Source organism: Homo sapiens, chromosome 20 (genome assembly GCF_000001405.40).
Source record: "Homo sapiens chromosome 20, GRCh38.p14 Primary Assembly".
In the NCBI taxonomy this organism is placed as follows: Eukaryota; Metazoa; Chordata; class Mammalia; order Primates; family Hominidae; genus Homo; species Homo sapiens.
Window position 1 is genome coordinate 21,996,852 of NC_000020.11, and position 14,657 is coordinate 22,011,508.

The window sequence follows — 14,657 nt, forward strand, 5'->3', positions numbered from 1 at the left end:
TTCCATTTTTAGAATTCAGCAGAATTCTAAAACATAAGCCAAACAAATTACAGAAACAATTCAGGGTACAAATAAGAAATTTACCAAAGAGATAGATATCATTAAAAATAAAAAATTAAAACGTTGGGACTGGAGAGCTTAGTGAATGAAATACAAAAACATTTAGAAGCTTCAACAGCAGTCTTGATCAAACAGAAGAAAGAATTTCAGAACTTGAAGATAGCTCCTTTGAAATAGCCCTGCCAGAGAAAAAATAAAGACAAAATAATAAAAAGGATATGGGGGTACCATAAGGTAACCAAATATTATTATAATTTTCAGTCTCCTAAAAGACAAAGGGAAAACAAAAGGGTGAAAATACCAATTTAACAAAATAATAGATGAAAACTTCTGAAGTCTAATAAGAGAACATATCAAATCCAAAATTAGTAGAAGGAAAAAAATAACAAAGATCAGAGCAGGACTACACAAAATAGAGATTTGAAAGAGTACAAAGCTTCAATAAAACAAAAGGGTAGCTTTTCAAAAAAGATGAACAAAATCAATAAACCACTTGCTAGGCTAATAAAAAGAGAGAGAGAAGATCCAAGTAAACAAAATGAGAAATTAAAAAGGAAACATTATAACTGATACTACAGAAATACAAAAGATTATCAGAGATTATTATGAACAAGCATACATTAACAAACTAGAACTCCTGGAAGAAATGAACATATTCCTGTACACATCCAACATACCAAGATTGAATCAGGAAAATGGAATAGCTAAACAGAACAATAATGAGTAATAAGATTAAATCAGTAATAAAGCATCTTCCAACAAAAAAATAATTCAGGACCAGGTGGCTTCATGGCTGAATTCTACTGTACTTTAAAAGAACACCTAACTCTAATTCTCCTGAAACTATTCCAAAAATTGAAGAGGAGGGAATTCTTCCTAATTCATTCCGTGAGGGCAGTATTGCCCTGATATTAAAGCCAGACAATGATGCAACAAAAAAGAAAACGGATGAACATAGATACAAAAATTCTCAACAAAATACTAGCAAACTGAATCCAAGGGCACATAAAAAAATACACCACGCTCAAGTGGAATTTATCCCATGGACACAAAGATGATTAAACGTATGCAAATCAATAAATGTGATACATCTTATCAACATAATAAATACAAAAACCATGTGATCATCTCAATAGATGTGGAAAATTCAACATCCCTACATTATGAAAACTCTCAAGAAACTAGGCCCAGAATGAACACACCTCATCATAGTAAAGGCCACATGTGACAGACACACAGCTAACATCATACTAAAAAGAGGAAAAGCTTAAAGCCTTCCCCTTAAGAATTGGAGTAAGACAAGGATGCCTGCTTTCACCTCTCCTATTCAGCATAGTACTGGAAGTCTTAGCCACAGAAATCTGGCAAAAGAAAGTCATTCAGATTAAAAAAGAATAAATTAAATTATCCCTCTTTGATGATGACATAATCTTACAGCTAGAAAAACATAAAGACTCCACCAAAAAACTCTTGGCTCCGATAAATAAATTCAGTATAGTTGCAGGATACAACATACAAAAATCCATACATTTCTATATACCAATAATAAACTAGCTAAGGAAGGAATCAAGAAGGCAACTTCATTTACAGTAGCAACAAAGAAAACAAAATACCTAGGAATAAATTAACCAAGGTGGTGAAAATCTCTAAAAGTAAAACTATAACACATGGATAAAAGTAACCAAAAAGCACATCAACAAATCAAAAGTCACCGCATGCTCATGGATCAGAAGTATTCATATCATTAATGTTTCTATACTGGAACCATAATGCCCAAAGCAGTCTGTAGATTGGATACAATCACTACTAAATACCAATGCTATTTTTTACAAAAATAGAAAAAAATTATAAAATTTGTATAGGATCAAAAAGCCCAAATAGCCTGAGCAATCCTGAGCAAAATCAGAAAGCTGGAGGCATTACACTACCTGTTTTCAAAATGTATTACAAGGCTATAGGAATCCAAACAGCATGATATTGTTATAAAAACAGACACAAGGATCAAAGTAGAGAATCCGGAAATAAATTAACATATTTAAAATCAACTGATTTTTGACAAAAGTGCCAAGAACATATGTTATGGGACAGACACCCTCTTCAATAAATGGAGCTGTAAAAATTGGATATCTATAAGTAGAAGAATGAAACTGGATCCCCATCTTTTATGACACATGAAAATCAACTCAAGATGAATTAAAGACTTTAACACAAGACCCCAAACTATAAAACTACAGGAAGAAAACATAGGATAAAACACTCAGGACATTCGTCTAGGCAAATATTTTATGTCTAAGACCTTAAAAGCACATACAACAAAAATAAAGATAGACAAAAGGGACTATATTAAACTAATAAGATTCTTCACAGAAAAGGAAACAGTCAATAGAGTGGAGACAACCTGTTGAATGGAGAAAATATTTACAACTTATTCATCTGACAAAAGACTAATATTGAGAATATACTAGAAATTTGAAAAACTCAACAGTAAAAAAAAACAACAACAAATAATTCCATTAAAAAGTGGGCAAAGGACATGAGTAGATACTTCTCAGAAGAAGACACACAAATGGCCAATAAGTACATGAAAAACTACTTAACATTACTAATCAACTGGGCAATACAAATCAAAAGCACAATGAGATATCATCTCACCCCCATTAAAATGGCTATTACTAAAAAGACAAAACATAAAAGCTTCTAGTGATTTTGTGGAGAAAAGGGAATTCTTATACACTGTTAGAGGGAATGTAAATTATTGCTGCCACTATGGAAAACTACGGAGATTTTGCAAAGAACTAAAAATAGAACTACCATATGATCCAGCAATCCTACTACTGGGTATTTATCCAAAAGACAGGGAATAATTATGCCAAAGGAATACCTGCACTGCTGTGTTTATTGTAACATTATTCACAATAGTCAAGATATGAAATCAACCTAAGTGTCCATCAATGAACAATGGGTAAAGAAAACATAGTATAGATACACAATGAAATACTATTCAGTTATTTAAAAAAAAGAATGAAATCAAGTCATTTGCAGCAACAGGAATGGAACTAGAGGTCATTATGTTAAGTGAAATAAGCTGGACATGAAAAGACAGATACCATACATTCCACTCATCTGTGGGAGCTAAAAATGTTGATCTCATGGAGGTAGAGAGTAGAATGATGGATACCAGATGCTGGAAAGGGGGTGTGAGTGGGAGGTGGTGATGAAGAGGGGTTGGTCAATAGGTGAAAACATGCAATTATCTAGAAGGAATAAGTTCCAATGTTCAATAGCAAAGCAGGGTGACTATGGTTATCGACAATGTGTTATATACTTCAAAGTAGCCAGAAGACAGAACTTGAAATGTTCTCAACACATAGAAATGATAAATACTCAATGTGATGAGCACCCCTAATAGACTGATTTGATCATTACACATTCTATGCATGCAACAAAATATCGCATGTACCGCATGTGATAACTGTGTAAAATATTATGTATCAATAAAAAAGAAATGCATAGAAGTACATAATTTGAGAAATAGCTGTACTGTATTATCAATGGTTGTTTGCATAATTTGCATGATCTCTTCTTTTCTCCTAAGGCTGATGCTTAGCACAGGTGAAACCACGGACGGAAACAGCATTTTCTTTGTGAGAATGATTTAACTCTCAGTGGGAAAATTCATACTGTAAATTTGCTATGAATTACTTTCTTCACATTGGTGAATTGTTTGCTTGTTTTTCCTTTGGATAAAAGGATTTTTATGAAAGTGAGATAAAATGACAATTGCCAGAAAAGTATTGGATGACTTTCCATTTTCATTATGAAATAAGATAATCTGACCCACAGTACTCCCCACTCCCATTCTTTGTCATGACCAGGCGAGATAGGTTTGACTGCAAATGCTCCTTTTTTATTTATTTTTAATTTTTTATTTTTTTGAGACAAAGTCTCGCTCTTGTCCCCTAGGCTGGAGTGCAATGGCACAATCTCAGCTTGGTGCAATCTCGGCTCACAGCAACCTCTGCCTCCCGGGTTCAAGCGATTCTCCTGTCTCAGCCTTCTGAGTAGCTGGGATTACAGGCATGTGCCACCATGCCCGACTAACTTTGTACTTTTAGTAGAGATGGGGTTTCTCCATGTTGGTCAGGCTGGTCTCGAACTCCCAACCTCAGGTGATCCGCCCACCTCGGCCTCCCAAAGTGCTGGGATTACAGGCATGAGCCACCGTACCCAGCCACGCTCCTTTATTATTAGCAAAAAATAGTCCTCATACCATGGTCACATGAGAGGGAAGTATTTCTTTCAGAATTATAAAATTCCTTCAAAGTATTTTCTGTTAATTAATTTTAAGATGCACACTTGGCAATCTTGGATAGTCCACTTCCCCTCTAGGGACCTGTATGCTCAGCTGGAAAACAATCTGAGTGGATGAGATGATTTTAAAGATGTCCTCAATCAATGCAACTCTTTGCTTAACATCCAAGTGTTTGTACAGTACAGACACTATGTGGTATGCAATGTAATCTAGAAGAATACTTCTTTGTGAGAGTAATGGGCCATAAAATCATTGCTTTGTGCTAAATAAATGATGCCTTGAGTATCACCTCAATACAAATATAGATGAATTTCATTGAATGTGCTGCAGCTTTCCGCTATCTCTGAGGGTGCAAGGAACGTGTTTTTTATTTTTATATATTCCATAGCTTCTAAAAATGCTTGGTACATAAGTGCTCACATACCCACTGAATCAAACCCTCGCATTATGTGGCACATACTAGGTGCTTTATGGAACTCGAGATGTTTCAAATGAATAGAAATAGGGGATAGATGGATGGATGAATAGAAATGACCTCCACCCCAGCTTCAAAGAGAAATAAAGCTTAGAGACACTGTATTCCTTGATGCAGTAGAATCCTCTTTTTTGCCTCTTTTGAAGTTTGCATTTCTTGATGTGTTTTGCATATTGACAGTGATGTGCCTTGGTTTGTTCCCTACTGCTACAGGCATCAGTGCACCAGGCTCACTGCAGCTGCAATCCCTAGTCAAACATTTATGTTTCCTCTCTGAAGTCCCTCTTTCTGATGCTTTAATTGCTTTTTCCCTAGGCTGGTGCAACTATGAGTCACCAGATTGCGCAGGTGAGCTCACATCTTCTTCACACATTCTGGCTGGCTTTTCTTTCCAAAACTATAGTTGCAGCAGTGTGAGTAAGAAAGCCTGGATGGGGTGTTTCCTCACTCATGATAGTGTTGTTTCATCCTAGGAAGCTAGAAACATGAGAGCAGCATTCCAGGGTCAGACCAACTCAGCAAAGCTGTGATTCTAGCTTTCCCATGCCATTTGTGAGGGGGAGGCAACAACATTAATTAATAATAAGTAACAAAACAACAAGGGAGAAAAGTAACAAGCCAACCTCCGAGATCCTTCTGTGTTGCAAGACGAGCAAAGATAAAAGACTTCTAATACCACAAACTGACATAAATTTGACAAATAAGATTAAAGCTAACCTAAAGCAGCTGAGCCTTATGGGTTTACAGGGAATTAAAAGGGCATTAGTATTTATTTGTCCTTTTTCCCAGGATGGTGGATGTCCCCACATTGAAGTAGCACATTGTCTGCCACCAAACTGATGAGATGGAAATGAATCACCAGGTTTTTCTGCTAAATAGAAATGTGTCATTTCATACTCACCATGCTATGCTTTAGGTATGATTTGGTTGTTCTCACCAAAACTCATGTTGAAGTTTGATTTCTCATTGTGGCAGTGTTGAAAGGTGGAAGCTGATGGGAGGTGTTTGGGTCATGAGGGCTCTGTCCTCATTGATGGATTGGTGCCATTCTCACAGTAGTGACTTCTCCCTCTGGCAAGACTAGGTAAGTTCCTACAGGAATAGATTAGTTTCTGAAAGAGTGTGTCATTATAAAGGCAGCACGCTCCTCAGCTTTTCTCTCTTAGCACGCGTCCATTTCCCTTTTGACCTTCTCTGCCATATTAGAGGCAACATGGAAACCCTCACCAGAAGTCAGGGCTTTGCCCTTGAACTTTCCACCCTGCAGAACCATGAGCTAAATAAACCCATTTTCTTTATAAATCACTCAGTTCTGGTATTCTGTTATAGCAACCCAATATGGACTAAGACATATTGCTATGGAAGCAGCAGACATAAATGTGTGATGAGAATTACCCTACGGCTGGGCACGGTGGCTCTTGCCTGTAATTGCAGCTCTTTGGGAGGCCAAGGCAGGCGGATCACCTGAGGTCGGGAGTTCGAGACCAGCCTGACCAATATGGAGAAACCCCATCTCTATTAAAAATGCAAAATTAGCCAGGCGTGGTGGCGCATGCCTATAATCCCAGCTACTCAGGAGGCTGAGGCAGGAGAATCGATTGAACCCGGAAGGTGGAGGTTGCAGTGAGCCGAGATCGTGCCATTGCACTCCAGCTTGAGCAACAAGAGTGAAACTCCACTTCAAAAAAAAAAAAAAAAAAAAAAGAAAAAAAAAACCCTAAAAGGGAGAAATGCAATAACCAAATAAAGGCCACTTAAGTGCTTAAGTGGGACATCACCTCATGGTTTCAGTGTAACCAAGTTTACACATTTACTACACCAGAACAAAAATTTTCTGTTCTATTCTTGCTTGTGCAAATCATGCAACTTTCTTAATTTCTTTAAATATACATTTTGGAGTTTATTTATTGGAAATGAAGTTGCTTATTCACAAAATCTTTCCAAATATGTCAGAGTATCAACATTAAATGGATAAAAATGTGTGCTTCTTTGCAGCCAGCTATTATAGCTCTCAAATGTAATGACACTGAACTGTGGTCACCACTACATTTTCAAATGTGTATTTAAACATAGCTATGAGGCTAAGTGGTCTCTTGGCTAAAAAATTAGTAGGCATTATTTCTAAAACATGTAATATTTATAATCAATCTACATGTTTGGCTTATATCAAGATGCTGACAGGGCAGAAATATTGTTGCATTTATGATGATTTTAAATTTGTGACTGATGTTTCTAAAGTACTGGCCTCATAGCTGGTCTAGGAGAAGAACTATTGCCCAAATCTCTCTCTTGTACCTGCAGAGGTAGCTGATTTTTAAACACCAACATGTTTTTCCACACCCTGTGTCCTCAGTCTCAGTGGGCTGGCCTGACTGATTTGGCCATTCTGCTAATTCAGTTAAATGTCACAGATTCACTTCCCCCATTGACTCATCAGTAGTGCACAGAGTGAAAGTCCTTGCCATAAGTACCTTCCACATCCCTGTCCCTGCCTGAAGAAGTGTGTCCTTGCTCACAACAATCAGAAAAGCCTGAGTGTATGGATTGTTGTAAACTCAACACTGCTCCTGAAAGACCAGCCCAATTTGCTATTTTTGCTGCTGGGTGTCAGGGACATTTGCTGCAGTCTTAACAAACAGCTTCTACAGAATGCATTTATCCTTTCCTGGATGGGTTGTTAAAGGCATTTGTTTATTATCTATCTGTGTGAATATGAAGATCAGATATAGGAACCCAAGCATGGCTATGTCACTTGCCAGCCTGTATCCATCACCCTGCTGTGGCCATTCTTTGGAATTTCTCCCCCTTGGAATAAGCAGGGATTGCTTTACTATGAATCTTACAACACAGACTCCATTCATGTTACCCATAAGGGCTTTCTCTGATGTTCACTGCCAGGCATAAGGAATTAGAAGGAGTGTCAGAATGCTTAAACAATAAATAATGAAAATAAAAAAAATCCCAATTGTTTTCTAGCAATGAAAGGAATCATGTAAAACCACACTAGTTACCTTAATCCCAGTTAGAAAACACTAGAGGAATTCGTTATGAAACCCAAAGACATGATGACCTTCACAATTCTCCAGGCAAGTTCTTCATGTACCATGACAAGTGGGACTGAGAGTTTTGGGAAATGCAGAAGAAATGTGTCATTTTGAAGAGTTCTATGTGGAAGATTGGGATTCTAGTGGCTTAAAATGATGTGGAGTGAAATTGTTTTCAATGAAAATATTTATCAAAGTTATATCATGAGTATATCTAACCCTATGTTTACTGTATTTGTGCTATCATATGAATATATTTTGATTTAGTATTTGATCAGTCTTTACTGATTGTTGAGAATCTACTAACTCAGTGCTTCTCAAAGTGGTAAAGGGCTAGTTTTTCAAAATTTCTTATCTCTCCTGGATTGGTGCATAGTCTTACCACATATGACTCATCTCCAGCTTGCACCACTTGCTAATCACCACGTAAGTGTGGCAGCATCTAAACAAATCTGTCTTCATTTCAAGGAAGAGAACGCTGATAATGCACATGGATGTTGCAACAATGTCAAATTGCTATGAAAATTTCTAAATGAATTTTCTGCTCAATTGCCTACCTTGTTGCAAATTAATAACAGGCAGTTAACATAACTGGTAGTGTTCTGCAGACCACATTCTGAGTAACACTACACAATTTACTGCCTGCATCCCTAGAGGGGATGGGGGAAGAAATAGGCTAAATCCTAAAATGCCATGATGCCATATTCAAATAGTGTTTTATGAAGAATTGTTCATTTGGCATTCAGCACTGGGCAGTGATTGAACTTGAGGGAGGCAAGGAGTTTTAGAACCTGTAATATACCAGGTAAGAATTTATAAAAAGCTAACAGAACAGGTTTTCATAAAAGTGGGACTGAGAGTTTTAGGGACATGCAGAAAAAATGGGGATATTGTTAATTATCCCTTATCCTTATTTATTACACTTGTCATTCGTTATTATAATTAATTATTAGTGATCCTTAATTAATCTTAAATATTTTATGATTATTTAAACATGAATTTTATGAATATTTAAATAATTTTGTAAATATCATAAAATATTTTATGATATTTATCAATTCAGTTATTTCAGATAAAAGCACTGAATTAGTAGATTCTGAACAATCAGTTAAGACTGATCAAATACTAAATCAAAAGGGGAGCGGTGAACAGGGGTTCTTCTGTGCACTGTGTTTTCAGGGTGTTTTGTAATTAGCCAGCTGAATGAATGCCAAGACTGATGTAAATTAGGGCTTATAAACCCAGTGGTTTCTAAGGAATCACAGACAGTTATGTGGCAATAGGGTATGGTGGAGACTGTGGTGAATTAGAGAACAAATGCCCATTAAAAGGAGATAACACTTATTCTATTCCAGGTAAGCCTTCTGATTTTCCAAAAAACAAACAAAATAAAATAAGACAAACAAACAAAACCAAACAGAAATTCTAGCTTTTTATACAAAAGCTCTGAATTGCTCAATTGTTATCATTTAATTTAAATCATTTAAAAATTCTGTGCCAGCCCCAAAGACAGAGAAACAAAGAGAACATGATTAGGCCACTTGTGTGTAATCCCTGAAAACTCTCTTGAGGTTTCTAGAGATGAAACAGATTCTAGCAAGTTTCATGGAATGTTGGAATGTCAACTTCTTTAAAGGTAATGCAAAACATAATTTTATATTAACATGAATAGGGAAATGCATAATGAAGTAAATAGTGAAATTTGCAGGTATTCTTAAGAGCCATTAGATTCAAATCAATGTCAATGTTTTAGCTGAGTAGGCAGCTTCAGTCTGGGCACCAAAAATCTTGGAAAATTATTCTCCTTTCCTCTCAGGGGTTTCTTAGAGGAACATTCTGTGAAGCACTATGTTAGTTTTTATGAAAATATCTCCAAAGTGCCAAGCCCATCCAGTGAAATGCAGTTTTTTTAAGTTAAAAACACCTAAATGGCCTTAAATAGGTGGATTATTTAAGATATTTCATGTTAGAACTAAAGTGAGAGTACATAATTTCAAAGAATCCCCAGGGGAAATAAATAGTTGTTGAATCACTTCAGTTATTTCAGATATAAAATAGTTAGGCATATATATTCACATTTGTTACATTGTTCTGAGAGACAATGGTACCTGGCTTACCAAGGGAACTTAATTCCACCACAAATTGGTACATGAACTCTTAGCCCAGATGTGCTTACATTTCTCTCTTGAACTTAATTAAAGGCAGGCATCACCCATGCCTCTGTGACTGCCAGTCAGCTAATTTAAAGATGACAAAGCTGTGACAGACAAGCACTGGACTAAACGGCTGTGGATCCTGTAAATACACATGCTGCATATCCTTCCTAATGCACCACTTGTGGGCATGCCACCAGTCCGTCCTGGCCCCCTGAGCTCAGTACAAAGACTTTGTTGCGTCTGAAATAGAAATGAAAGTAAATATTGGAGGGGCCAAGAGCCATCCGGGGAATGTGAACTAAGTGTCCCTGAGTGGTGACCACCCCTGGTAGGCAGCTGGTGGATAACGTCAGCCAGGAGTAAAAGAATGTGGTGGAGTTTGGCTTCTTCAGCCAGAGAAGGCCTACACCAGCGTTAACCCAAAAGGCTGCAGATGGAGCAAAGGATGTCCACAAAGATCAGGGTGGGCTCATAATTTGTCTTAGTTTGGAATCCCCCAGAAGCAAACCCTGTGACAAGAATTTGAGTGCAAATAGTTTATTTGGGTTGTGAAGAAAGTTCCATCAGGGGGGTCGGGAAGTGAGCCAGGAAGAAAAGAGAGTCCATCGGAGGTGCCTAGGGAAGCTGCTTACAACAGTGAGCAGCTGGAGATCAACCCAACTGGGGAGCTCCGTGGGCCTCAGGGTTAACCCTTCTGTGGGGTTTTCTCAATTGATGCCTGCAAAGCCTTCCTTCATTCAGGCAAGGAATGAATGCAGGTCCTGGCAGAGGCTGGAAGTCAGGCTAGGAACCTTGGAAGGAAGGGCAAGGGAACAAGTGTAGCCACCAATGGCATCAGTCACATGACCTTCCTAAAGCTATCAGTGCCCCTAAGGCATATGCAAATCTAAGAAACAATGGTCAGTGTGTGCACTTTTGGGAACTGAAGTATCTTCTCTCTGTATTTTTTAGTTGCCAACTTTTGGATATGCTAATTGAAATTAAACTTTCTTCCACCTCCCCCTCCATTTAAAAAAAATTTGGTGCCTCTTATTTTTGGGTGCCCTAGGTACATTCTTAGCCTGCCTCTTGTATAGTTAGGTGATCACTGTTTGAAAAGTAAAGTGGAAGTAGGCATAAAGATGACACTGCAGGTCTCAATTGGAGATTCAAAGTCAGTCATTTCCCCAGTTAGGCTCTAACACAATGTAACATGATGAGGGGAGGGATTTGCTAATCACAACCAGAGTCACCACTGAGTGAAGGCATGTTCTATGCCAGGCTCCCAAATTAACTACCCTCATTAATTTCCCAATCTTGCTTTTGGGGAGCCACACCCCACCTCCCTTGATCACACTAGACTGTAGCAAAGACAGATGATAACAATAATGGTTAATATTTACTGAGAGCACACCAATGCCAGGCACTGCTCTAAGCCTTTTGTGTGTTTTAACTCATTTTATTCCCTACAGTGACCTTCTGAGGAAGTACCTATTATGATCTTTATTTTTCAGAAAAGGAAGCCTGGGCTTAGAGGGAAGGTGCTTACTCATGTTACACAAAGCTAACACATGTTGGAGTCTAGATTTGAACTCATGTCTTCTGTCTTTAGAGATGACCCCCCATTCCATCCTGACCTCAGCACTGCACCATTATACTGCAAGCAATTCACGATTCAGCTGAATCACTAGATGATGAGGAGAGAAATTGCAAATATGATTTTGTTGGCTATGAGGCACAAAGGTCTCCTGGCAACAGGAACTCATTTATGTCACCGCAATCTCCCCATTTAATAACAGAGAGAACATCATTTTGCAGACATATCCTCAGCAGGCAATTTGCCCAGAAAATAGGGAGCAGATTTCTGGATCTAGGGGAAGGAATGGGAAAGAATCACTCTGCTGTGGAAGGTGAGAGTCTTAGGGAGCAGACCCAGAGCAGTGAGAGGCAGAGCACCTTCCAACACTCGGAAATTTCCTTGAACTAGTGTCTAAGGATGGAAGGCCAAGAAGGGCAGGTGAGGGCCTTGATCATTATTTATTTATTTTTTTATTTCACACAAAGAGTTGCTCAGAAATAGGAAGTCTGGATGCCGCAGAGTTTAGAGGAACTTGGGCAGCATTTAAGTGAGAGGGTTGTAGGAGCCCTGATGGGAAGGGATCCTGGGCCTGTCTATGAACTGGTCTCCTTCAAGTCTCTCCTGCACAGTGAAGACATCTGCACATTTTTGCCATCAAATTCTAGAGACTGAGTACAGTGGTGTGATCAGGCTAGAGTGCAGTGGTGTTATCACAGCTCACTTGCAGCCTCAAACTCCTGGCTTCAAGCGGGCCTCTCCCCTCAGCCTCTGGAGTAACTGGGACTACAGGCATGCACCCCTATGCCTGGCTAATTTTTAATTTTTGTTATAGAGACAGAGTCTTTCTATGTTGCCCAGGCTGGTCTTGAACTCCTGGCCTAAAGTCATTCTTCTGAATTGGCCTCCCAAAGTTGTAGGAGTACAGGGGTGAACCATGGCACCTGGCCTAAAGACTGGTTTTAAAAAAAGGACATATGGAGCCAAGATGGCCGAATAGGAACAGGTCCAGTCTACAGCTCCCAGCATGAGCGATGCAGAAGACGGGTGATTTCTGCATTTCCATCTGAGGTACCGGGTTCATCTCACTAGGGAGTGCAAGACAGCGGGCACAGGACAGTGGGTGCAGTGCACTGTGCGTGAGCCAAAGCAGGGTGAGGCATTGTGTCACTCAGGAAGTGCAAGGGGTCAGGGAGTTCCCTTTCCTAGTCAAAGAAAGGGGTGACAGACGGCACCTGGAAAATCGGGTCACTCCTACCCCAATACTGAGCTTTACTGATGGGCTTAAAAAACGGCACACCATGAGATTATATCCCGCACCTGGCTCGGAGGGTCCTTCGCCCATGGAGTTTCGCTGATTGCTAGCACAGCAGTCTGAGATCAAACTGCAAGGAGGCAGCAAGGCTGGGGAAGGGGCGCCCGCCATCGCCCAGGCTTGCTTAGGTAAACAAAGCAGCCAGGAAGCTTGAACTGGGTGGAGCCCACCAGAGCTCAAGGAGGCCTGCCTGCCTCTGTAGGCTCCACCTCTGGGGGCAGGGCACAGACAAACAAAAAGACAGCAGTAACCTCTGCAGACTTAAATGTCCCTGTCTGACAGCTTTGAAGAGAGCAGTGGTTCTCCCAGCACGCAGCTGGAGATCTGAGAAGGGGCAGACTGCCTCCTCAAGTGGGTCCCTGACCCCTGACCCCCAAGCAGCCTAACTGGGAGGCACCCCCCAGTAGGGGCGGACTGACACCTCACATGGCCGGTTACTCCTCTGAGACAAAAATTCCAGAGGAATGATCAGACAGCAGCATTCGCGGATCACAAAAATGCGCTGGTCTGCAGCCACTGCTGCTGGTACCCAGGCAAACAGGGTCTGGAGTGGACCTCTAGCAAACTCCAACAGACCTGCAGCTGAGGGTCCTATCTGTTAGAAGGCAAACTAACGAACAGAAAGGACATCCACACCAAAAACCCATCTATACATCACCATCATCAAAGACCTAAAGTAGATAAAACCACAAAGATGGGGAAAAAACAGAGCAGAAAAACTGTAAACTCTAAAAAGCAGAGTGCCTCTCCTCCTCCAAAGGAACGTAGTTTCTCACCAGCAAAAGAACAAAGCTGGATGGAGAATGACTTTGATGAGTTGAGAGAAGAAGGCTTCAGACGATCAAACTACTCTGAGCTACAGGAGGAAATTCAAACCAAAGGCAAAGAAGTTAAAAACTTTGAAAAAAATTTAGGTGAATGCATAACTAGAATAACCAATGCAGAGAAGGGCTTAAAGAAGCTGATGGAGCTGAAAGCCAAGGCTTGAGAACTACATGAAGAATGCAGAAGCCTCAGGAGCCAATGCGATCAACTGGAAGAAAGGGTATCAGTGATGGAAGATGAAATGAATGAAATGAAACAAGAAGGGAAGTTTAGAGAAAAAAGAATAAAAGGAAACGAACAAAGCCTCCAAGAAATATGGGACTATGTGAAAAGACCAAATCTACGTCTGATTGGTGTACCTGAAAGTGACAGGGAGAATGGAACCAAGTTGGAAAACACTCTGCAGGATATTTTCCAGGAGAGCTTCCCCAATCTAGCAAGGCAGGCCAACATTCAGATTCCAGAAATACACAGAATGCCACAAAGATACTCCTCGAGAAGAGCAACTCCAAGACACATAATTGTCAGATTCACCAAAGTTGAAATGAAGGAAAACATGTTAAGGGCAGCCAGAGAGAAAGGTCAGATTACCCACAAAGGGAAGCCCATCAGACTAACAGCGGATCCCTCGGCAGAAACTCTACAAGCCAGAAGAGAGTGGGGGCGAATATTCAACATTCTTAAAGAAAAGAATTTTCAACCCAGAATTTCATATCCAGCCAAACTAAGCTTCATAAGTGAAGGACAAATCAAATACTTTACAGATAAGCAAATGCTGAGAGATTTTATCACCACCAGGCCTGCCCTAAAAGAGCCCCTGAAGGAAGCACTAAACATGGAAAGGAACAACTGGTAAAAGCCACTGCAAAATTATGCCAAATTGTAAAGACCATCGAGGGTAGGAAGAAACTGCAT

The 14,657-nt window shown here is 39.6% G+C and overlaps 2 annotated features.

The window, feature by feature from the left end:
• Positions 5,024-6,223: an enhancer, noted in NCBI's record as "BRD4-independent group 4 enhancer chr20:21982513-21983712 (GRCh37/hg19 assembly coordinates)". NCBI's record gives its function as "activates an origin of replication core promoter dependent on BRD2, P300/CBP, MED14 and CDK7 cofactors, and independent of BRD4, by STARR-seq in HCT116 cells {active_cell/tissue: HCT116}" and the evidence as "EXISTENCE:reporter gene assay evidence [ECO:0000049][PMID:35650434]".
• Positions 12,507-13,007: an enhancer, noted in NCBI's record as "H3K4me1 hESC enhancer chr20:21989996-21990496 (GRCh37/hg19 assembly coordinates)". NCBI's record gives its function as "activates a minimal SCP1, AML or CMV promoter by ChIP-STARR-seq in naive H9 embryonic stem cells {active_cell/tissue: H9 hESC(naive)}" and the evidence as "EXISTENCE:reporter gene assay evidence [ECO:0000049][PMID:30033119]".